At 48.7% G+C, this 25,225-nt stretch overlaps 1 protein-coding gene across 9 annotated transcripts in view, besides 2 other annotated features; it reads right to left on the bottom strand.

Annotated features, from left to right (window-relative positions):
* WDFY4 (WDFY family member 4) overlaps positions 1-25,225 on the bottom strand; it is a 298,084-nt gene that overhangs the window by 17,306 nt on the left and 255,553 nt on the right. For all 9 annotated transcript variants that reach the window (XM_011539988.3, NM_001394531.1, XM_017016463.2 and 6 more), the window contains 7 exons: positions 23,803-23,845; positions 22,202-22,321; positions 19,494-19,611; positions 18,682-18,791; positions 8,369-8,522; positions 5,838-5,929; positions 1,597-1,809 (listed from right to left, as the gene is read on the bottom strand). In XM_011539988.3, the coding sequence (XP_011538290.1) occupies positions 1,597-1,809; positions 5,838-5,929; positions 8,369-8,522; positions 18,682-18,791; positions 19,494-19,611; positions 22,202-22,321; positions 23,803-23,845 (850 nt within the window). The remainder of the gene's footprint in view (positions 1-1,596; positions 1,810-5,837; positions 5,930-8,368; positions 8,523-18,681; positions 18,792-19,493; positions 19,612-22,201; positions 22,322-23,802; positions 23,846-25,225) is intronic.
* Positions 13,018-13,517: an enhancer, noted in NCBI's record as "H3K4me1 hESC enhancer chr10:50160179-50160678 (GRCh37/hg19 assembly coordinates)". NCBI's record gives its function as "activates a minimal SCP1, AML or CMV promoter by ChIP-STARR-seq in primed H9 embryonic stem cells {active_cell/tissue: H9 hESC(primed)}" and the evidence as "EXISTENCE:reporter gene assay evidence [ECO:0000049][PMID:30033119]".
* Positions 16,059-17,258: an enhancer, noted in NCBI's record as "MED14-independent group 3 enhancer chr10:50156438-50157637 (GRCh37/hg19 assembly coordinates)". NCBI's record gives its function as "activates an origin of replication core promoter dependent on BRD2, BRD4, P300/CBP and CDK7 cofactors, and independent of MED14, by STARR-seq in HCT116 cells {active_cell/tissue: HCT116}" and the evidence as "EXISTENCE:reporter gene assay evidence [ECO:0000049][PMID:35650434]".

Raw genomic sequence — 25,225 nt, 5'->3', positions numbered from 1 at the left:
GAGGGAGAAGAGGTGGAAGCTGGTCCAGGCTGTGGACATGGGCAGAGTTGGGGCTCCAGTTCGATGGGCAGCTGGGGTGGGCATGGGTGGTCTCAGAGAAACCTCAGCTCAGTTATAGTCCTGGATCAAATGGTAACTTATTTAAAAAAACTGGGTGGGCGATCAATGCAAACAGAAATCAAAATGATGAGTTTTCAATGAGTGTTTAATAATGAGCACTCTTCTTTGTTCAAGGTGACTGGGAGTAGCAGACACAGCCCCTGTCAGGAGCAGCATGGAGTCTGAGTGCTGCAATCTTGTCTTCAGACTGGGACACTTGGGGATTCTCATTCTGATGGCTACTTTAGAAATACTTGTGAAAGCACCTATGACACATTGTTGAGTAGTCAGAATCTGAAGTTATATGTACTCCATGACTACACTGACGGGAAAAGATCTGTGCTGTGGACAAGGGCTATGAGTACATGAGGCAGGACATGGCTGGATGGTAGTGGCTACTACTTTGAATTATTTTGTTGCTTTGTATTATTATATATTTTTTAAATTCAAGAAATGAAACCATTAGGCTAACAGGCTTATTTCCTGAAATTCTTTCCTTCCTACAAAGCCTCCCAGCAAACCCACACTGGATGTGCCATCCAATCTCCAAGTCACCCTCATACCTTCCTCATATTCCCTTTACCTGGGAGCTGAGCAAACCTCAGCATGTCATGTGAGACCAGAGAGAAAGATGTTAGTTTAGCACTAACTGCAGAAGGAGCCCCTCCCCACCCCGAGTCCTCATGGTTGCATGTGGGGAAGGCTGGAACAAAACACCTCCACACACAACCACAGTTCAAGGATCAACAGGGCCAGAATCAATTAAATAAGCACCTAACTTGTGCTTTCATCAGTATGTCAACAGGGGAATGCACAACCTCATATTGCTAAGTGACTATCTTGACAGGAGACAGAGCCAGCAGAGTAGAAGGCCCAGGTGAGACTTCACAATTTCACCAGAGGCCTGGCAGGTAGAAGGCAGATGCTCTCACACTGGTGACAACATGGTGCAAGCTTTAGACCTATTCAGATAGGACCAGAGCTCTACCTCTGTTGACTGCTGTTAGTGTAATTCTAGGCAAGGTATTTATTTAGCCTCTCTGAGCCTCAGTTTCCTGGTCCATAAAAGAATACTCTCTATATCCAGAGCTCACGAGAGATTTCAATGATATAATCACACTAATAGCTAACATTTGTTAAGTGCTGGTCATATTTCAGGCACTTTCAAACACTTGATATGTCTTAAGTCATTGGATACAACAAACCTGTAGGGTAGATACGAACACAAGTAATTAGTTACCACATATCTATTGTAGTGTCTAAAATCAGATCAGTCACAGACAAACACAACTTTCACTAGTTTCACTAATGATGTCATCATATGCATCAACATCAGGTGGTAACTGAGGGTTAAGCCTGATATTGAAAGCACAGGAAGATGATGGGGGACCATTTCACCTCTTCAGCCATCTCCTTCACTTTCACCCCAGGAGAGAATGTCCTCACACTGCACACACTCTTTTGAGAAAGCAAGGCAAATGACAAGGCATGCTGTACCTGTTTGGGCACCTGTCCAAAGTTGCTGACAAACCCCAGGATGGTGCTTTTGATGAGGGGGTCAGTGATGCTGCTGAGGTCCATTCTGTCACCGTAGAAGTAGGGGTGGAAGATATTAACAGCATCCACTGCGGCTGGCCCCTGCTGCTTGTACCCAAAAATAAGGTCTATCCAATGGTGGAGGTTGGCACTGACAAAGTCACTTTCCAGGGCCTGGAACAAAAACCCAAAGAGCATTAAAACCCAGGCCACTCATGGACTCATGCACTCGCTGCACAGATTGGAAGGGGCACATGCTTCAGAGTGCTGGCCCTGCACAGAGGAGATAATTGATGAGCCCCTGGGCTTGATGAGCACAAAGAGGCAGGATGAGCCAGCCACCCGAGGGCCACCCTAGTCCTGTCTGCAGCCAGCAGCAAATCAGATCTGACTGTTTTCACCACCCCAGCTCAACCATGTCATAAAACAACCATGGTGTCCACAGTATCTATGAGGTGCAGGCCTGGGAAAGACATCTAAATGGAAGAGACAAGGCTGAAAATAAAGTCTTGGGGTCTTGCTGAGATGTGACATATGAAACAAGGAGAGCTGGTTCTGACCAGAGAGTGTCAGGAGGCGGAGGCTAAGTGCAGTGATCAGGAGACCGTGCTCTCGAGCACAGTGGGTGTGGGTGCTGCCATGTACACATTCCTTAACATCACTGTTCCTTGGTTTCTTCATCTGTAAAATGAACAATTGTACCTTCTTAGCAGGTTCATGTAAGAATTAAGTTGTGTCCACGGCTGACACACAGGGAGCTCCAGGAGTTAGGTGATTTCACTAAGCACATACGATGCCAGGCACTGGCTGTTTCACAGGTGTTGTTTCCTCCCATGAACACCGCCTTTTGGTGGCAGGTATAATTAACCCACTTCTAGGGCAGGCTCATGTGTGGTTTTTGATCCTAACACTCCAGCCCCCAGTTTTCATTCCTCAGAACCTCACAGGGGGCATCCAGTCTCACTGAGCAGATCTCACTTCACTCAGTTACTGGGGAATTCTGGACATGGGTGTGGGCATCTTCTAAATCATCCCTGGCACAGAAATGATAGAACCTGCTTCTGAGGTACAGCTTAGCCCCCAGGAATGTGAACTTCCTTCACTGGGGCAGCTGTGTCTAGCTGGGGGCATGCAGCAGGCAAGGAGTTTCTCACCCACGCACTCACAGACCTGAGGAACATTCTGTCCATGCTCAGGCTCACTGACTCCAGATGGGAGGACAGGAGACATTCTCAACTCAAACATGGAGCCTGGATCCGAGTTTACAACCTTTAAGTGAGAAGTAAACCTCATCCCATTCAGGACCACAGCTCCCACCAGAAGTCAGCAACATCTGCCCCTCATAAAAGGTGTCATCCAAAGAATTTAGCATAAGAGCCAAGCATGCTGGATCTTTCATGCATAGAGCCCAGATGGGTGGCACTGGCTCAGAATGGGGGACCCAGGTTGGCAATAATTCTCATCAGGTGTCACACATGAGCAAGAGGAAGTATGGCCCAGTGTCTCGATATCACAGTCTATCTGAGAGGTGGCACCTGTTTCTACTGAATAGAACCTAGCTTCAGGGCTAGGTGCCCAGAGCCTCAAAATGTTCATTTGGGATTGTCTGGGCTCCCCTTGTTGGTCCTCTGGGAGGACAAGCTGCCCTACACACCTGGATCTGAAGAAGCCAGGTCACCTGTGCTAAGTTGGCTTTTCTGAGGTCTATGATTAAAGTGGCTTTGGAGCCAAGAAGGCCACATTTGAGTCATGTCATACGAGGGGTAATGAAAGGTATGGCTCTCCCAAGCCTACCACCTGGCTTGGGGTATACCTCATGAACTTCTGGAGATGTTTGCATGAAGCCATTTGTTGGTGGTTGCCACAGAACCACTAAAGGCATACCCAGGTGAGGGCAGATCATAGGCCAGGACAGCTGACCCTTCTGCTGGCCCTTCTTCTTACCTCTTGCTAACCAACACATATCCCATGTCCTCAAGCTCTTCCCAAACATTCCTCCACCTCTTTTCCTTAGATGAAGCCTGGCTTTCCCTAAGACCACCAGTTCTCCTTCAGCAAGTTCAAGTGGTGGCCACTTGCTGGACATAACCCATATGTCTGGGGCCAGGACGTTGGGCTGGTGTCTCCTCAGTCCTTATCGCCACCTCCAGAGTATTGGTCCTCTGTCCTCTTGTAAAAAAAAAATCACAAAAGATCTGCTTCTCTGTGCTGCATGAGATCTAGCTGTACTCACTCCTCATCTTCACTGCTGTCTTCCAACAACTTCTCTCTGTTCTCCTCATTCATCAAAGATGGTGATTCCTGGCCATATCTTCCCTTCTTCTCCAAGATCTGCCATCATCCTCAGTGACTGTGATCTCTGGCCTCTCGGTTCCTTAAGCTCCACATCTCCAAAAATTTTTGCCTTCATTCCACCTAAAGTCACCATTCCCATGGCCACACCTTAACCCATGTCAGTATCCATAACTGCCTCATCTTCTAAAGCACTCATTCAAACATCCACTTGGCAAAAGTCACATCCTCCTCACCTTTCTGGGTGTTCACATGCTTCCTAAGGCTCTTCTTCTACCTTGTCACAACCTCAGGTCCCCTTGTCCCTTTTCTTCTTTGCATTATATCAGCACCCACCTGTTTTTGGCTACATCTTTATCCAGCTTAGATGTAGTGGTCCATCATTCCAGCAACACTCTGGTCAATTGAATCATGTGTACCTCTGTCTTTTATCAGACTATGGCTGCTGCTGCCTGCAGTTACATTCATCTCTGGCCCAAGTACTCAAGACAGTGGGCTCTGAGAGGGATGACTCCTATCACTGAGTTTCCAGAGGCAAGAATAAAACAAGAAGAACTTTCTCTTTGCAGAAAAGGACAGGAAAAGGCATAGGTTTGTTGCCACTAGTCACACCTGCCTCAGGTTATTTTTACTTTTTAGGTGTAATTTACATACAATAAAACTTGCCCTTTTAAAATGCCCAGTTCAAAGTGTTTTTATAAATTCATTCAGTCATGTAACCATCACCACAGTCAAGACATAGAACGTTTCCCTCGGCTCAAAAAGTCCCCCCGTGTGTTCCTTTGTGGTCACTCTCCTACTTCAGATCTTAGGAACCACTAATTTGTTTTCTGTCCCTATAGTTTGCCTCTAAATGTCACATTTCATGCCTGTATATAAAAATCACATGATATGTAGCCCTGAGTTATGGCTTCTTTCATGTAGGATAATGCATTAAAACTCATTCATGTTGTTCTGTGTAAACTGATTCAGTAAATCTGCTCCTTTTTACTGCTGAGTAGCATTCCATTGTGTGTGTGTGGATATATCATTTGTTTATCTGTTCACCAGCTGATGGACATTTGAGTTTTGTTTTTGACTAGTTTGAATAAACCTGGTGAAGATTCATGCACAAGTTTTTGTGTGGACATGCTTTCAATTTTCTGGAGTAAATATCTACAAGGGAAAATGCTGGGTAATATGGCAAATGCACCTGCAAATTTTTAAAAAAATTACCAAGCTTTTGTACAAAGTGGTTGTACCGTTTTGCTTTTCCCACCATTGATGTCTCATGCATTCCAGTTGCTCCACATTTTCATCAACTATTGGTTTCACTGGTCTTTTAAATTTAAGCCACTCCGGTGGGTATGTCATAGCATCTCATCTCATGGTAGTTTTAATTTATTTCTCCCTGGTGACCAATGATGTTGAACGTCTTTCATGTGCTTAAACTAACCCAGAAATTTGATTCAGCATGTGTCCCTAATGACCTCTGGTCTCTACCCATGTCCAGTTTTTTGGGTAATAAGCCAATTTCTCCCCAGTTCTGGAAAATTTTTGGCCAGTGGGAGTCCCTGGGAGGCTCCAAACCCTCTCTGAACTATGCTGAGCAGTCAGGCCCAGGGAGTGGATGTTCTTGTAGGGCTGGCTGAGGACACTGACCTGCCCTCCAGGGCACTAAGCTCACTTCCTCCAGTGAAACCCTCACCAAGCTGGCACCCAGGCAGGGTCTACTGGAGCTCTTGAAACAGCCCAGAGCTCAAGCCTTTCCTTGCCAACCTAAGGTATAGACCCCATCCCTTCTCTGGGTTTTCCAGACATGAGCCTCACAGTGCTGGTCACTGGCCCTCCACTTGGACAGAAAGCCTCGGTGGAACTTGAGGGGATGTTCAGGTCCCCAGCAGGATACCAGGGGTCCTGGCCTGACTCACCTTTCTGTGCAGGCTGATGAATTTCCGAGGGTCCCCATCAGCCCAGGGAGGGAGCTGCACGTCTCCTAGCACAGTCCCGTCCTGCATGCAGCCTGCATGGGATGAGAAGCAGCAGAGATTTGGGTAACTCAAATCAGGCTAGGAACTGGGGGATGTAAAATACACATTGCCCAGGATTGCTGATTTTGTGTAGGTCTGAACGTGAGTTATGTTCTCTGCAGACCATGCTGCTTTCAATCTTCTCTGCCTGGAATGACCCCTCAGCATGGCTTCTAGGCCTTTGCCTCCTCCAGGAGGCCCTCCTTGCTTCCCAGGCAGTGCTAGTGCTTGCTTTGCAAGTCATCTGAAATGATTTCAGTGTCATCAGTGTGGTATATCTTCCTCTGCACTGTACTGTGCCTTTCTTCTGGGTGCTTTTTACACAGCATTAAACAATCAGGAGATACAGTGATAGTGGTGCAAGCTGGCAAATTCTAAGCACCTCACTCCACGCCAGGAGCTAGGCTAGGCCCTGGCCACACATCACCTCACTGAATCTTCATTCTAACTTGATAATTTATGCATTTTCTCTCCGTTTTTAAGGCGAGGACAGCAAGGTTTTTAGACAGAGATTCCCCTGACAGTAGAATGAGGAGGCTGGACTCAACCCAAGTCTCCCTCCTCCCCATTAGCTGCCCAACCTTGCACAAGCCACTTCACTTCTTTGAGATTCATTTTCCACCTGTAAAATTTAAGGTGATGACAGGAATTATCTCATAGGGCTGGCATAATGATTAAAGGAGAAAATACACATTACATGCTTAGAATGACGTCAGGCATATGATGGCTACTCCATAAATGTGAGCTACAGTCTTGCCTGACCTCCCCAGGGCCTGCAAGAAGCAGCTGGAATAAAAGCTCCCCTGCTCTCTCTTGGCTACTGAGCTGCCTGGCCTGGCCCTTCTCATCACTCATCTCAGCTCACCTGCCACCTCCTCAACAGGTCCTTCCTGAGGACCAGAGAAACTCAGGTCTTGCTGAGTCATCCTCAAACCATTTTCCTACCTATTTTCCTCATAGGACTTCTCAGCATCCAACAGTGTTTCACTTACAGTATAGAAATTGTCTATATTTTCTCTTCCATTTTTCCTATCCTCACACAGAATGTAAACATCTTCAGGACATGCCATCCCAGGAGACCCAACTAAATCCCCAGTGCCTAAAAAAAAAGGTCCCTATATACAGTAGGTGCTCAATAACCACTTGTTCTCCTGACTTTTCTGAGGACATTTGCTCTCTTGGCCTCCATTGCTGGTAGGAGCCATCATTTCTGCAGCTGAGCCCATCATGCCTCCTGCAGAAGAGTCTGGCTTCATTTCCAAGACAGAGTGGGTACTCTGGTCAGTGCTCTAACCCCGGGCTGGCCAGCCGCCTCCTCCTGGCTGCCACCCTCCCTGAGTGACTCCTGCTGTGGGACTCCTCACGCTTTGGGGGATCCATCCTTTGAATTTGTTCACTTCTCACCCCTGACGCATGTGAGGTGTCTAACGATTTGAACACCACCAAGGTCCCCAGGTTCCATAGGTCAGACTCACGGGGCCTGGCTCACTGTCTGGCCTTCTCCTCAGGGATGTGGGCTGCATGTCTAGGGCTGAAAACCCCTGCACAAGGTTTTGCAGGGACTAATCTCCTCTGCTGTACCCCCTACAGGGGCTGCATCTGGCCTGGCTCAGGTGCATGCCCTTATGTGCTGTCCGGAGGCAGAAGGAGAACACTGACGAGGGGGGGCTCTAGAGCCCGAGGTATGCATTGGTGATGGCTCATGCGTGTTCTCTGCAGAAGATGATTCCCAGCCAGGCCGGTGACCTGCCCAGGCTGTGACCACGCATCTGCTCTGCAAATTGCCCTGACTCAGCCTTGCAACTGTTTGCAGTGGAAGCTCCGAGACATACAAACAGTCCCCAGGGGAGCTACCCACCGTGGTCTCCTAGATTGTTTGTTCCACCTCTATAGCAGCAAGAAGCCCTGCTGCATCATAGGCTGGGGCCTGCAGTTCAGGAAGGAGCTGCCATAAGTGCCCGTCCAGCTGCCCTGGGATCCCACCCAGCAGTCTACCCCAGGACACCCAGCATCTCTGGGTCCTGCCCTTGGAGTCCACATGAACCCATTTGTGGGACATGGAGGAAATGGGACTGGTCGGGGCCAGGAGCTTGCCCAAGGTCTCGAGGCAGAAAGGCAGTGCCAGGCCTGGGCTACACAGAAGAGCCCCTGGTCTCAGCCACTGCCTCACTGCCAACTGAGACCTGGGACCCTCGGAGGAAAAGTCGCAGGTCGGGTGGTGGCTCAGCACTGTCCTGGCAGCCTGGGGCCAGCGCCCTTCCTCAGCAACCACCTTTCCTTCTGGGCACTGCTGCCCAGTGGAGACCTCACCCGAAGTTGAGGTCCTGGGGAGGGCCTAGCAAAGGTCCAGATGATGTTGGTCATCACCCAGGGGCTGTGGGAAAGAGCACCCTGCAACGCCACTCACCCGGCCTCACCAGGCCTCCACTTACCGAACTCTACCCCGTTGCAGTTGGTTAAGAACTCAGGCAGGTAGAAGAACTCTGGGGTCAGCTCCCTGACGTCACTCATGTTCTCTCTGGAGGCCGACTCCCACGTGCTCTTCACACTGTGGAACATTCTGTCTGCCACGTCGAAGCTTCCGCCCTGGGGGAAATGGAGCCAACATGACCAGCCGCTCTCACTGGCACCCTCCTGCTGGCCAGGCACCGTCCATTCTGCCTCAGAGGCACGGGTTCCACCATTAGCTCCTCTCATTTACTCTCCTCACACACGTGTACCCATCAGCCCAGATGTGTGTGCCGTGGTTCTCCAGCCACCGGTTCCTTCATTAGTCTCTGGAACCTTGCTCCAGAGCTTCAAGGCAGAATGCATGATCCGTGTTAATCAATCCATGTTTCCCTCCTATGGAAATCTGAGTTCATATCAGAAACAGGAAAACCACATCTGAGCACTTCCAAGACTGCAGAGGGCCAGCTCTGAATTAGGTGCTCAACAAGAGGCAGCAAGAGTGCTAGTGACTGGGACTCGGCTCCTGAGAGGCTCATGGCCAAGTTCCACAGGCAGGAAATAAAGAACCAACCATAGGACAAAGAAGTGGGTGAACCTTCTATGTGGGAGGTCAGCAAAAGTTTCCTGGAGAGGCGCCCCGGAAGTGAGTCTGGAAGCTTGCTGATGGGGAATATGGCAGTGTTCTGAGCAGAGGACAAGGCTTGGGTGAGCAGCAGAGGTGGCAGGAGAGCAAGAAGCAGAGGGAGGAGGGTGAAGGGAGGAGGGAGGAGAGCTCGCTAGGGGAGGGCCCTGGTGACATCCAACACACAGCTCATGGCATTTGGTGAGAGAGAGACGTGGGCAGGAAGGAGACTCTGGGACCAGGGGTCTTGGCTTCGATAAGAGAGAATGGGTCTGAGGGTGGAGAGATGGAGAAATTTCAGGTTCAAGGGGCAGGAGGCTGGTCCACAAAGGACATGATGTCCACAGCCTCTGCCAGGGCCAGCCCTGGTCCCAAGGCCCATGGCCACAGGTGGCCTGGTACAGCCCCAGGCCTGGCTGTCGAGGTTGGGCCATGTAAGAATTCAGGCACATTCTTTCCCCAGATTCTCTCATGTGAATTGTCAAACTCTTCAGCTGATGCTATCCTTATTCACCAGGTGGTCTTGGGGGTTTGGAGGAGGCAGAGAGGTGCCTCCCTCCAGGTCCTGGTTAGAGAAATGAAGGTGCTGGGGGTGGAGGGACTTCAGGAGACAGTTTCTGAAATTGAGCCTTGGGTCTAAGTAAGTTTTGGGATAGCCTTCTGCCTGGGATTCAATAGTTCACTTGTCCTCATCAAGGCTGGGCCTTTGTATAACAAAAACTTGTCCTCCTTCTGCCATCTTCTGCAGAGCACACATGTGGAACAAGGGGCAGGGCCACAGCAGTGCCCACTCTGTGCCCGCCACTCCCTTCCCTGCTCAGAGGGCTGAGGGTCTCCCTCTGCATTTACCCAAGGAAGCCTTGGGGGCAGCTGCAGGGGTGGGTGGAGGTAAAAAAGGGCAGGGGCCTTCTCTTGGCATGTCTGGTCCATGCTCAGATGATCTCTCCTAATCCTCACAGCAGCTGCATCAGGAAGGAATTGGTGTTTCCATTTGGCAGACCAGAAAAAGGAGGCTCCTCAAAGTACACTGATTTTTCCCAAGGCAGTGAATGGCAGAACTGGGGCAAACCCATGGATGCAACTCCACAGGGCGTGCTTTGCCCCATGCCAGATTCCTGGGGAATCCCTGGACCTGGGACAAACTGAAGCCACTATGTGTGGGCCAAGGGGGAACTCAGCTCTTTCTGAGAGGGGGGAACCTACCACACACCCAAGGTGGCCACACCTGGACATCTTGAGGGTCATGGTCTGGCTGGTCCATTTACTGAGTCAGATCAAGTGAGATCTGTGGGTCATTCCCCACACAGGGACAGGGACACTGACTCAAGCAAACACAGCACATGGGCAGCTTTAAACATGTGGCTTTTCCCCAAGGTCGCTTTGCTCTTGGTTGAAATTAGGGAATGACGTCCACCATCAAATTTAAATTGAAATGGAAATAAAATGGGGGTGGGGTGTCGAAATAAATATTCACCTAACGAGTCACTCATTGAAATGTATTAGGAGCATTGTATATTTAATCTGCAGCCCAAGCCTTGCATCTGCGGGAGATTGATGCCTACTCCTCGTCCTGTTTCCCTTTTGCAGCTTTTATGAATGCTGATGGTAGTCTCCTGAGAAACAATATGATTTGGTAATAAAAAGGTTACCTGTATTAAATAAAAATAATATATACATACGAAATATTGTTAGTGCTACAAATCTGGTTAAAGATATTACCACAAAGAAAACTGTTATTTTTTTCACAGCTGTCTAATGCATTTTAGCTAAAGTAATATCTTTAAAACTTAGGCCTGTATTATTTATAAAGGAAGCAATAACTGATTTTCCTATTTGCTATATTAATAAATGTATTTGCATACATTTGTTTCAAAATTAATGGGTCTTCTCACTTCTGCAATACAAAAGAAAACACCAAATTCCCTAGAAGAAAAAGTGGAGTTGCTTTGTTACTTGTATTGTAAGTCTGTGGGTTGATGTAAACTCTGGTGGCTGCCAGCGAGCAGTCCCAGCTAAGATTGAATTCTCCGAAAGGAAGGAAGGAGGAAAGAAAGAGAAGAGGGAAAAATGGGGCAAGAAGGTAAGAGGCAGAGAGACCCAGTCAAGGTTTACAGAGTGTCTATCTAAGGAAAGTCCAGACCCAAATGAAATAAACCAGCACAATTAAGTCTAGAACTTGGAAGGGAACAAAGTGATCAAAGAGAATTCCTGAACCAAGAGCTGCTCTGGAATCTGTTCTGCAACAAATCCTACCTGTATCCAAACAAACTGTAAAAAATAATAGCAAGGTTATTATTGCCAACAAAGGAACAATTTCTTATTGGCAGAAGGTTTTCCCATGTGACATTTAGGCCAGAAGACAATGGAGCCAGCCAAGCCTAGAGGATTCTGAGGCAAAAGGTTACAGTTGTTGGATTTTGTGCTCAGTTAAGACATCACTCACATGTAAAGATGTGGGAACATTTTGAATATTGAAGAGTTCAGAAACAATATAATCCTAGGTACCTCTTCTCAATTAAAATCCTTTAGGAGGTGCTAAATATTGCTAAGAGATGAAGCAAAATTGAGGGCAAAATAATAGGAAAAGAAGTGGCTAGCAAGGACTATTCCTGCACATTGATCCAAGTTAAAATCAGGGGACAGTCTATAATTATGGTATGATGGCTAAAGCTGGAAAACCTGAAAAGAAATGTTCTATATTAAAGGAAATACTCCTTTCATGAGAGGACACAAAGTCTATGTGCACCATTGCCTATGGATGAGCATTTCAATCACTATTAGACATTCATAAACCCCTCTCCAATGTGGCTTCAATTCTTGGCCCACATTCACAGGAAATTCAGTAACTGCACATGCTGAAGGAAACCAAGATGCACAGATATTTCTATAATATATGCTAGAAAGTCTATTCTTCCTTCCTGATAACACTGATCCAAATCAACCTGCTGCCACATCTGGATATGGAAGTGGTTTTATCAGCAGGCTGACAACCCATTCTCACTGCAGATATTCTTTCCAGTAATTTAAAAGTACCCATGCAAACAACTCACTTACAGGACCCTGTTGATATATCAGTTGATCTAACCTGCTGTCTTTAGCCAATCAAAGAGGCAGTATGCAACGGTGGAAAGCACACTGGCTTCAGAAGCAGACTGGCTTGGGCAGGAAGTTCAGTGCCCACTTAACTTGCAGGATGAACTCAAGTGAGTTTCTTAATCTCTTTAACCGCCCATGCCCTTGTCTATGAACCCTGGATGATAGCTGTTGGTGTGAAAGCAATTGTGTGTGTGTGTGTGTGTGTGTGTGTGAGAGAGAGAGAGAGAGAGAGAGAGAGAGAGACATATCTCATGCGATGAAGCAGGCACATAGAAAGAGGTGCCAAATGAACCCAGCCCCTGTGTCCTTTTCCCTTCACAGACTAGGATTAGAACTAGGGAGCAATCCTGGGCTTGGGCCCTGATCTCAGTGTGCATGGGGAAGGCAACCAGGAGCTCCAAAGGAGAAGGGGATAGAAGTTATGGAAGGTAGGAGGTGGGGTACAGGGGGAAGTGAGGAGAGGCGGGATCTTCCAGTGGCGAGGACAGAGGTAGGAGGGTGGGGAATCTGAAGGACTGTGGGATGACAACAGGAAGGAGAGCCTGAACTGTCAGGGCAGCTTTTGGTAGCAACAGCACCTCAGAAGTAACGGGGCAAATGTGTGAGGGGAAAGGAAAGCTGGACCCAGCATTCTCTGAGCCTCTGCAGGAAAAAGCCAGGCCCTGACACGCTACTGAATAAGCTAAAGGCATAGGACCCTCATGGCGTTGGGAAGCCCACGCACTGGTCCAGCTGCCTCCTTGGTCTTGCTCTCACAGAGGACGGGATGACCCCAGAGTGGCCATTAGCTTTCCTTCCTGTAGGTGGTGGCTCTTTTCTAAATGAGTGAACCCGTCAAGACTTGCTGAAACCACGCTGCCTGCATTAGGAGGAGGAGGGTGGGCACGTAGGGGACACTAAGGTCAGCCAAAATGGCTCATGTCGTATCTCCTTTAGTCCTCACCACCCTCCCAGCTAGGGGTTATTTTAAAGGATGAAGAAACTGAGGCTCCGTTGTTCAATAATGCCAATTAGAAAGTTCTAGAGCCAGGAGATTATCCCGGGACTGTCTGTCTCTATTGCACGTGCTTTTCCAATACTCCTCAAGTCTGTATGATAAAAACCAGACGGTGTTGGAGATCCTGAATGATTCTCCTCAAGTCACACTTTGGGCCCTTACAGATCCCATGCCCTTTCACTGTAATCAGAGGGAGGCTGGCAGTTTCTATGTCTAGCCCCACAGCCCTGGCTGCATTGGGTAGGCTGGCCCTATGTGAGCCTTAGGGTACCAGGAGGTGGGTTGCTTGCCTCAGAGGCAGGGGCTGAGCTGCAGGCAGCAAGTGAAGAGGCAGGCATGGTCCACCTGGGTGTGAGCACAGACACAGACGCTCCAGGTTCCTCGCCTTCCCTGGCACACGCTCCACCAAGAATCCTGGCACTGACCCCTCCAGGAGCTTCTAAGTCAACAGCCAGGATGGGCCAAGTGCTGCCCCACGGTTCTCCATTCTCTCTGCAGTTAGCATCTGTCTTGTACAAAAACCAGCCATCTCGCCTCAGGTGGTTCGGAAAACCCTTCCCCACTGCTGGTAACAGCTGACTTCACATGGGCTGTGACTTAATTAACACAGCACTTTATCTCTGTTTCTTATTAAATGCAGCAGCAGCCACCGCTGCTGTGTCTTTGGTGGGCGCCGGCTGCCTTGCTGGGCCCCACCTCGGGTGGGTCTGATCTCAGGCCTGAGAGCAACTGGTGCTTTTACTGGAGCAGAAACAGGTGCCTGGGCTGGGACCCCAGCAGGGGCCTGACCTCCTAGTGACTCAGCTTTCTGGAGACTCACAGACACTTGCTCTAGGCAGGCAAGACTCCTAAGAACTATAACATTTTCCAGCTTGGGCAACATAATAAGACCCCGTCTTTACAAAATGTGTGCTTTTTTTTGTTTCTTTGTTTTTGTTTGTTTGTTTTTGTTTGCTTGTTTGTTTAATTATCCAGGAGTGGTGGTGCACATCTATAGTCCTAGCTACTCAGGAGGCTGAAGCAGGAAAATTGCTCGAGCCCTGGAGTTCCAGGCTGCTATGAACTATGATCATGCCACTGTACTCTAGCCTGAGTGACAGAGCAAGACCATGTCTCAAAAAACAAATGAACAAAAGAACTACAGCATCTTGGGGCTGCTGCTGGGGGAGATAAGCCCTCTGCCCTGGCAGACAGACGAGTTCACACCTCCAAGAAAGTGGGGAAAACAGAGCTCAAAGCTGACCCATGCCTGGTCACACTGCCTGCATGTGCCACCTGCTCAGATCACACAGTACATATATATACCATATTTTCTGGATTGTAAAAATCTTATTGTAATAACAGGCTTGGGACAGAAAAACAAACAAACACAGCAAGGATATAAGTATGTGTCAATTATAAGACCAGCTCAAACCTAAGAACACTTAAACCTGAAGGGAATAAAACACTCCTTATACCCAGTGTTCCGAATGTACCGCACAGCAATAGGGGGTCTCTGTGCTGTCCACAGTCTCTGCACAGTGCAGGGTAAATGGGCCACAGTGCCCAGAGAACTCCATGCCTGCCTCTCTGCAACCCAGCAGACCGCACTGGGTGTGCCACACAGGCATACAGTACGTGACAGCAAAGGTGCTCCATGGCAGAGCTGTTGTGCTGCCTGTCACTCTGCACTGGGGGCACCAGGGGCCATGCTGCACACACATGCAGCCAGCACACTGCATGCCTGCTGCAGTACCGGGTGACTGCCTACATGTCACACTGCATGCCTGTGCACCTGTGTGTGATGCTGCACGAGGGACTCCCCACTATTCTACTGAAAATGTGGCCTTGAAAATGGCACATGTCCCTTTCCTCTGAGCACTGTGTCCCCTCTGGACAACCTCTGTAGATCCCACCTTGCTTTATTTACCATGAGTGTTTTAGGCTTGGTGTCCCCAGGGCTAGAACCCATCTCATCTCCCTTGTCATTTCCTGAGGGATGTGACCTCCCAGAGACTCAGTATCCTGAGATTAATCACAGCAGCCTCTCACAAGCTTGTGAGGGTCCAAGGAGGCACAGCAGTGTTCACAGCAGCACCCTTCATTGTCATCAGAGGGAGGAAGCACCCCAGCCATGGACGAATGATAAACAACATGTGGTCTACAAATACAGGGGCGCAGACTCAGCCGTAGGAAACTGACACATGCCGCAACAATGGATGAACCTTGAGGACGTTACGCTAAGTGCAAGAAGCCAGTCACAAAAGGACAAACATTGCATAATTCCACTTATAAGAGGCTTAGAGTAGTCATTCATAGAGACAGAAAGTAGAACAGTGGTTGCTGGGTGCTGTGGGGAGGGGCGATTGGAGAGTTATTGTTTCATGGTTTCAGAGTTTGGGTTTGGGAAGATGAAAAAGTTCTGGAGGCAGATGGTGGCGATGGCTGCACAACCATGTGTATGCACTTAATGACACTGAGCTGTGCCCTTAAAAATGGTTAAAAGGGTAAATTTCTTATTATGCATATTTTCCACAACAAATAAGTATAAAATAGTTTAAATAACAGCTGTAAGGTACTTAGCACCATCCAGGTGCATAGTAGGTGCTTAATGAGCAATCAGAGATTGGAGCTGTTACGGAAAGGCCTTCAGAGGTGATCCTCCTACCCACCTCCTTGATCTCACCAAGGAGACTGAACCCTAAGAAAGAAAGCGATCTGAGCAAAGTCAGACACGCAGCCCTGGGGATGCTGGGACATGAGCCCCAGGCTCACCACGTATGTCTCCACTCTGGCTTATCTGTGGTAATAGGCGGGTGGTAGCATTTGCTCAAAGCAGAATGGAGACGTGTGCTCTCCCATGCTGACTCTTACATGTCCACTGGCTCTGGCTTCCTTGCCTGGGTTCCACAGCCTCCCCACGTCTCTCACTCTTCCCCACTCCATCATCTACCCCAGGTTGGGAGTAGTGCCTTGGGCTGCTGAGACTATGGGAGGCTCCTTTCCAGCCACCACAGGAGTGAAGCAAAGGTCTCTGGAGAAGATACAGGCCTCCCCCTAGGAGGCAGGATGGGATGGAGGGAAGAGCCTGACTTCAAGAAGATGCCAGAATATTCTTAAGGAGGTCTGCCAAGGCCCCAGCACTCTCAAAGAGGAGCCTGGTGTGTCCTCCCACAGAGGTAGACTATGTAGCCTTTATACTCATCCTCTCGAGAGCTAAAATTCTTTTTTCCTAAGGAAAAAGCTGAAGGTGGCTCTTTCTTTTGCTGGTTCAAAGGCTCGGGCCAGGTGTGACCCACTAGAGGAGTCATTTAAAAGTAAGAAAGTGAGACCCAATTTAGAAGCATGTAGAGACAGCCCAGATGACTCCAACTTGGATGGGTCAATCTACCCAAGACAGATCTGAGCCCCAAAACTCAGTTACATCAGTGACTTCAACATGGGAGTCAAAAGGGCTCAAGGTAAGATGACTGCATTTGTGTCACCTAAAAGCATGGACAATTGGTTGTGACCCTCTCACATGGGTTTAGACCATCTCAAACTAATTTTACCTGGTCACCAATGGACCAGACTGGCTAAAATAAGCTTAAACCAGTGATTAGCTTCAAAGTGGCCATAGCCCAGATATCCCGTTGGTTCACAACACACCTGTTAGGTCTAGCTCATGCTAAGTTGGAATACTTTGATGCAGTCCAGACTGCCTTAAATTAGCTTAAACCAGAGGAGACCAGCCTGGACAAGTTCAGACCTGCTCAGATTAGATCTAGCTGATTGCAGAGGGAAGAAGGGAACTAACAGTGATTGATCACCTATGTAGCATCAAGCCTTGAGCTGGGGGTTCTCTGCACATTTTCTCATTTAATCTTCTCAACAGCCTATAGTCCAGAGAGATGTGCATAATTAACCCTCATTTCCAGAGGTAAAATAACTTGCAGAAGATTTTGCATCTATTAAGTGGCAGAGCTGTGATGTAAATCTCACAGCTGAGACTGTTTCTATTTCACTCTGTCTCCTCCCGATGTGAAAAGATCCTTAGCAACAGGTAGAGCTGGGGTTTTGGGTTATAATGCAGCCTCCTGAAGGGGCAACAGGAAACTCCAAAGCATTCTGAACACTTAAACACTTAAATTCCCAGGATAGAAACCAGTGGCGGAATCCATCACTATCATCGTCAACGGTGATCATCATTTCTTGTGGATTAATGAGCAACATCTGGATGGGATTCCTGGCATGGGGTGCAGCTCTGGGACCATTTGTTCTCCAAACCAAACTTACTTAAAATGCTTTTTGCCTGAGAAAGGCTCAGGGGAAGCACATTTATTATTTTTGAGTGAATTTCCAGGGAGAGGGGGTTATACAATGTCTAGACGTGTTATGCCGTCAAGGAGGGAGAAGGCTGCGCCAAGTAATGGAAGACAGGAGGACGTTTGCTCCTTATTTGGAGAAAGTGCCTTGACCTTGCCTACCCATTCCTGCCCCAGGGCTCAGAGTTGGCTTTAGTGTTGATGCAGGGTGGCCTTTGGTCTCTCAGGGTCAAGGTCCTCTGAGTGACCATAAAGAGTGACCTCACAGGTGAGGTCAGTCCCAAACTCACAGTTCTTGGGATACCCAGGCTTTTCTGAGATGAGGCTTAGGTGTCAGAACAAGTCTGTGTGTTCAGTGGCCTGTTGCCCATCCCAGCTCATGCCTTTCTCTCCGTCAGACCATTGCAGGGTCTGGATCAGGGCAGCCCATACTCCCTGTGCTATATTCTCTTTAGAGTCAGCCGAGCCAGCTGCCCTATCTGAGGGCTATCTCCCCGTTCAAAAGCTGTGCCCTGGGATAAAGGGGCTCCTTGGAAGCAGGATCCCAGTGATAGGGTTGTGAGGGGAAGAGGGGAAAGGAACTTCTCAGCACCCTCACAGCACTGCCCATGAAAGACTCTGTCCCAGAAATCCCCCATGCCTTGGACACCAACCTGGCAACACTTGGACACCAGAGTGGCCATATACAATACAGGAGGCCCAGCTAAACTTAAATTTTGTATAAACAACCAATAATTTATAGTTTATCTGGAATTCAAGTTTAACTAGGTATCATGTATTTTTATTTTAAACCTGGCGACCGTAAGCTGGTATAATGGTCTGTTAGCGTATGGGTGGGTAAGTTGGTTTTGTCCTTCGAAGCCTTTCAGTTTGTTCTTGGTACAGATTTATGCATTCCGATGTCTTGAGTCATATTCTTTTCATTGTTCCTTCTCGTATTTATTTTTCTAATCCTTGACCGCCTGCCTTTCTAGTCTCCAAGTTTCCTGCTTTTTCTTTTTCCACTAAATCTTATTTATGTTAAATCATTTTTTTCATGTCTCATTTCTTATTTTTTAGAATCATTTTGCAAGACTTTGTTGGGCAGATGTGCAGGTGTAACTGAGGAAGAACAGCCTGCCTTGGCTGGTGAGCCAGAATCCTGGAGCCAATGTCAACTGGGAATCACTGGCTAATGACTGAGTTTTTAGCAGAGGCATCCTGTCTTTGTTCAAGCACAGGTCTTAGTCTTGTGATACAGGCGTATGTGTGTGTGTGTGTGTGTGTGTGTGTGTACAGAGAGTGGCAGCAGCTCACCTGCAGAGCGCAGAAGGCCTGGGTGAAGGGTGGCATCCGGACCAGGTAGGAGGCCACGATGATGGCCGAGGAGTAGTGGGTGTAGTAGTGGCACTGGACAGTCATGTCTCCTGCAACAAAAACACATGCTTGAGGGCTGCTTCCTTACCTGCACTCACACGTGGCAGATATGTGTGCTACACTGTGTTCATGAACGGCATTAAAAACATATATTCATTGACGTTTAGGAAGTGAACAGACCTAAAGTAAAACATTCAGGCAATAAGATCACAGACGGCACGTGAATGTGGCAAAACGTCTAAAGATGGCGTGTAGATGGACAAAGTTTGGGAGCTAGAGTCACACAAATGCAGGCTCTGCCATTTAGAGGCTGTGATCTTGAGCAAGTTGCTTAAACTCTCTGAGTTTCACTTTCCTTCTCTTTGAAATGGACCACTGTAATATACAAACACAGGCTGGCCTGCCCCTGGCAGAGAGAAAGTGCTGAATAAATGTTAGTTTATTCTGCTATTGCCTGCCCCTAGGCATGGAGTCATTACCTCTTAGCATTATATTTCTCCAGCCAGGCTGCATGTTAGAATCCCCTGGGCTGTGCCACACCACGGACTTATTTAAATCCAAATTTCTAGAGGTGAGGCCTGGACATCAGTATTTTCTAGAAGCTCCCCAGGCACTTCCTACCACCAGGTTAGAGTCCTCTATTCAAATGCAATTACTTGTAGGCTAGGTGACCACCTTAATTGTTATCAACTATCATTTTAGGGCATCCCGATGAATAACACTGCACCAAAAATCAAGCTGGATCTACTCACCTTCAGTTTTCTCAACTTCTTTAAACCTCTGGATAAATTTCAGCTTCCTTTCCTTGGTCTGAGCCCCCATGGGCTTTGAAAGATCCCGGAAAATCTTCGGATTTGCCAAGTTCAATGTCTAGAAGGCAGATGTGCAGCTGGAGTTAACTCCCCAGACCCGCTTGTGCCCTAGGAGCCACGCTCTTGAGTTTTATGGTTCTCTTTATTGATTTACAGTCATTTGGTCTGACCTGCCTCTGGTGGTTAGCTGGCAGGCTGGGGTTTTATGGCCCCAGAGCCAGTGATCCACAAAGACTTAAAAAGGGAGAAATGAAAAATAAGAGGAGGGGAAGACTGAGTTCACACTCAACCTGTTCCAAGTTGACCCAAATCAGAACATGGCCTCCAGCTACTGAAAAGACACTTTTAAAAGAACTCGTGTTGTCTATGAGGCACTTGGCTCCTAAACTGCATTATGTACTCCAATAGTTCAGGGTCCTTGCTTAGAATCAAACTGATTTTACAGGAAGTTAGAAGTCATCTGTTCAGGGAGGAAATGAGAGGAACTTGCTCATTTTTCCTGGAGGTTCACTCCTTTCTGGGCAGTGAAAGCATGCTGTGAGCGCCCCTTCCCTCTCTTGGAATATACTGCAGAGAAAACAGGACCAGTTTCAGGGCCAGGTGCTCTGGGAAACTTTTTCTTTTCAGGTTCTGTATGTTAGCAGAGGAGCCAAGAATTGCTGGGGTTTGCATTTCTTTATAGGAGGAGGTACCTGTGTATCTCTCCTTCTTTTCTTTTTTCTGAGACAGAATCTCGCTCTGTTGCCCAGGCTGGTATGGAGTGGAGTGGTCCTGGCTCACTGCAGCCTCGACCTCCTGAGCTCAAGTGATCCTCCCACCTCAGCCTCCCAAGTAGCTGGGACTACAGGTGCGTGCCACCATGCCTCGCTAATTTTTGCATTTTTGATAGAGACAGGGTCTCACTATGTTGGCCAGGCTGGTCTTGAACTCCTGGGCTCAAGCAATCCTCCTGCTTCGGCCTCCCAAAGTGCCAGGATTACAGACATAAGCCACTGCGCCTGGCTCATAACCCTTTCTTTCCACTAGCAGTGAATCCTCAAAGCTCCACTGGGGGCCAAGTGTGTCACTATCTCAAATGCCTGCAAAAGCCAGGGAGAAGCAGGGGCAAGAGTGAAATGGCCCCTCTTAAGATCCCAGTGAGTGCTGGAGGGGACACACGGAGACCCACACTCAGCTTTCACAATCTTGCCAGCTCAGAAAAATTCCTAGTTGCCAGATCTCACCGTTTTCCAAAAGATATTGGAAATCCAGATTTTTTTAAAGGAGAAATCTCCTAATTTTTAAGTTGATAAATAATCAAGGTTTTAAATACCTAGTATGACCTAAACAAAAAAGGCTTGCAAACCACCACTTTGCAACATGTGAGTAGGTTTTGTGTTTGAAATGCCTCAGCCTCCGATGGACCATTAGTGCAATAAGCAGCAGCCAGTGCTAGTGAGAAACGTTTTGCTGCATTAAATGTCTTAAGAAGGGATGAGAGGTCACAAAGGACTGAGTCTCCTTCTCCCAAATCCTGAAGGTCTGCCATCCAAGCAGCCCTACGCAGGACTGGCCAGGCTCATCTGAACAAGTGGCTCAGCCACCTTGTGTGCTTTACATATGGCCCAGCACCTCTCCAGATGGCCAGAGCCCGGGTGGCCAGGACACTGCTCCATAGTTTGGTTGTCCCCATAGAAGCACAGAAATCACCCTGGTCCAGCTGTGGAGTTTTACTCCCCATCCTTTCCCTGCCTGCTGGGGCGCAGGGGTGCAGGCTAAAAGAGATGAGGGATCTGTTCTTGTCATCTCACCATCAACCTCCCCTGTCACTACACATCTCAGTCCAGATCCCAGATGAGGCCCAGACACCATCATCTCTGTCACTGAACTCAAGTTACAGCAAGAGTAGCTTGTCCTTTCTGTGTGTCTGTATCCCTGTGTCTCTCTCTCCTTTCTTTCCCAGGCCCCTCTCCTGCACACATTGATTTTAGGAACAAATTCCATGGCCCACTTCACCTGTGACTGCCTCACCCCACAAGGGCTGACCCATGGCACCATCTTGGTAGATGGCATCAGGTGCCTTCACTGTGGAGAGTAAGCCAGGAAGCCCCCTGGGGCTCATGTTAGCAACTATGTTAGTTGTGTTGATCATTCCACAGGGGGATCCAGGACAGGAACCCAGGCAGCCAAATACCAAAGGCCACAGTGGGGTTAAGAGATCTGAGGCCGGGCACAGTGGCTCATGCCTGTAATCCCAGCACTTTGGGAGGCCGAGGCGGGAGAATCATTTGAGGTCAGGAGTTCGAGACCAGCCTGGCCAACATGGTGAAACCCCCTCTCTACTAAAATACAAAAAAAATTAGCCAGGCATGGTGGTGCACTCCTGTAATCCCAGCTACTCAGGAGACTGAGGCAGGAGAATCGCTTGAACCCAGGAGGCGGAAGTTGCGGTGAGCAGAGATTGCGCCTTTGCACTCCAGCCTGGGCGATGAAGTAAGACTCCATCTCAAAAAAAAAAAAGAGATCTGAGCTTCAGCAGCCTTTAGGCCCAGGTACCCAGGTTCATGTGACGGAACCTCCTAGCAGAGGCTCTGCATGCTGACTTAGGGTCTCTGTTATCAACGTCCGAACACCTGAGGGCAGCTGTGGTTTCCACGTGAGGAACTTACCTCTGAGGTGTAGTCTGCGAGGACCCAGGGGAACACTGGGTACTGCATGTAGTCATTGCAGGTTCTCCCAGCCGCGGTGTTGAGGTACATGAGATACTCAAAATTGCTGATGTCCCTTTTCTACCAGAAGAGACAGAAAGGGGATAAACCAAATACGTTTGATGCTCCTGCAAAGCCATGGGTCCCACCCTCAGGCCTCGGCAGCAGGCCCTGGCTCTGTGGGTGAGGACAGGCAGCCAGCCCCTCGGTTACTTTGTGCACATCTCATGCATGACCCACACACAAATTTCAGTATGAACGGAGGCAAGTATATTCGGGAAGCAAAGTCAGCAAGGAAAAAAAAAAAACCCAATGCAGTTCAGCATCCAACACCAAGGATAAAACATGCTTTTGTGTTAACTGTTGGATGCAGTTCTCAGAAGTTGACTAAAATCATAGCACAAATGCTGTGGGTGAACTGACTGCTGACCTATTGATGGTTAGAAAATAAGCAGATGGGCCATGGCAGTCCCAGAGACAGAGGCCCTCACTCCCAGGCTTGATGGTCTGGCTTCCTCTGGGGCTTTGGGAACTGCCTATTCCCTGTCCCTGCCTGTTGGGGTGATGCTCACTCTTAAGGGCCCTCTGCCTCCAGATGAACAGTCACAAATGGAGACAGGGCCCGTATTGGGAATAAAATCCACCAAGGCCGCTGAATGAGTGAGCAATCCAACACAGCCGTCATCTCTGACATGTGGCCTGTATGTTCAGGGGCTCTCCTTTCCTCAACCTGCCCCTTGGGAGAGGATTTTGGACCTGAGTGACTAAGACCTACTTTCTCATTGTCCCCGAATCTCTACAACTGCCTCTTTTAGGGTCTCTTCCTTTCTTTGAGAACCCTGGGCTGAATGTCAACTTGTCCAGGCTGGGAGCCACGTGTATCTTCCAGGAACAAGAATTGACACCCATGCTCTGCCCCCTATGTGGCTGTATACATGTGTATCTTCACAGATGGGGTGTGTGTACCCACTCGGAGGCATCCATAGTGTACAGGTACATGCACATGCGCGTGCGCGCACACACACACACACGCACACACGCACATTCCCCAGCTCTGACTCCAATGTGCAAGATTTGTACTCCATCACCGACATCTGGTCAGGGAAATGTCTGAGACATTTTGGTAAATTAGAAAAATAAGATCCCAGCTGGGCACAGTGGCTCATGCCTGTAATCTCAGCCCTTTGGGTGGCTGAGGTGGGTGGATCGCCTGAGGTCAGGAGTTCAAGACCAGCCTGGCCAGCATGGTGAAACCCTGTCTCTACTAAAAATACAAAAATTCGCTTGGCCTAGTGGTAGGTGCCTGTAATCCCAGCTACTTGGGAGGCTGAGGCAGGAGAATCGCTTGAACCCAAGAGACAGAGGTTGCCGTGAGCTGAGATCATGCCACTGCACTCCAGCTTGGGCAACAAGAGTGAAACTCCATCTCAAAGAAATAATAATAATAATAAATAATAAGATCCCTTCTTGGTTGATCCACACACTTCCTCTCCATCGCTGGGGCCTGAGCCATTCTCTGGTTTGCATTCCCAGAGGGCTTCCCTCTGGAGGAGCTACTGTACCTGCCACTTCTGCAGCATGATCCTGTCAGAGCCGGGGTATCTCCTGTGGGACAGAAAACCAAGGTGGTGACTAAATATACCAAGGCAAGAATACAAACAGGGGAGAGGTGGGGCTTGCCTGGGCTTCACGGGACCAGGGTGTTCAGGAAAGCTGCAGACTTCCCAAATCCCAGAGCAACTCTCAGCGGACAGCACAGGGAGACTGTCATCCAGCTCTTCTTGCCCCACCCTGGCCTGCTGAAGGTTAGGTTCTTGCAGTCAGTGTCCCTCCGCTGTGATGCCAGAACAAGCTGCTGCCTCAAGAATTCCAGGGGACATGCAGCCTCAGGCTTGGGGGCCTCCTTCACAACCCACACAGAATTCCCCTGCCACATCTCGGCCTTCTTTATCCCTGCCCCGACCCCTTGTTTTGCTCGTGGATAAAATGCAAACAACGTGGAAGGCCATGAGATATGGCCTAAGGGTCTCCCAAGAAGGGTCCACAGTCACCAGTTTCCAGTGTATGTTCCAGAAAATGTTTTACCCATATGCCTGCCTATATGCCTACATAGTTTTTTTTGTTGTTTGTTTCTAAAAAACTTCAATCATACATGGGATCACATCGTACACCCGGTTCTCCACCCAGCCTCCCTTGTGCTGCAGCAGCCCTGGAGACCGGCTCACACTGCCCTTTCGCATTCATCTCTGCAACCACGGGGCAGGGTTGCACAGCTGGATCCTAACTGATTCACCGCCCCCATGACAGGCTTTGTTCTCACAACTGACGTTTCCAGGAGCACCTTTTGGCACATGTCTCTGGGTACTTCTGTGAGTAGCTGTGGTGCTACTGGGTTAAAAAGTATGAGTATTTACCATTTTGCTACCTATGGCCAAATGGTTCCTTTAAAAGGCCATACTAATGTACATGGCTAAAATTAAGACTTAAATATCAAACCAAAGAAGTCCCATTGTGGACTGCCCTGGTAGGAAAAAAGGGTAACAAAATGCAATACTGGGGAGAGTGTGGGGAGGAGCCCCTCTCCCTTCACCTGAAACCTCTCTTCTCTTCAGCAGAGATTACAGAGCCCAGCTCCTCAGCCTCCAAGGTGCCCCTTTGCTCCTTTTCCAGCCGTTTCTTCCCCAACTCCATAAGACTCTCCTCTACCCCCAAGACCAGGTCTTCTCAAGATGCTCCACCACACCAAGCCAAATCATATCCGTTCTCTCCATCCATCCCCTCTGCCACAGTTCTATTCAGGTACCTACAGACCCAGTCCCCACATACTCTCTGCTCCACCTGCATGGTCTGTGTCAGGACCCTGCCGGGCTCAGTCTGGACAAGGCCTGGCTGCCCGTGTGTCCCAGGGGGACAGTGCTGCTTCACATTCCCATCATAGCCCCACCGTCACATCTTCTGTCCTGGGCTCTCCATCCCTCTGCATTC

Source organism: Homo sapiens, chromosome 10 (assembly GCF_000001405.40).
Source record: "Homo sapiens chromosome 10, GRCh38.p14 Primary Assembly".
Taxonomy (NCBI): domain Eukaryota; kingdom Metazoa; phylum Chordata; class Mammalia; order Primates; family Hominidae; genus Homo; species Homo sapiens.
This window is presented reverse-complemented; position numbering and strand designations above follow the sequence as displayed.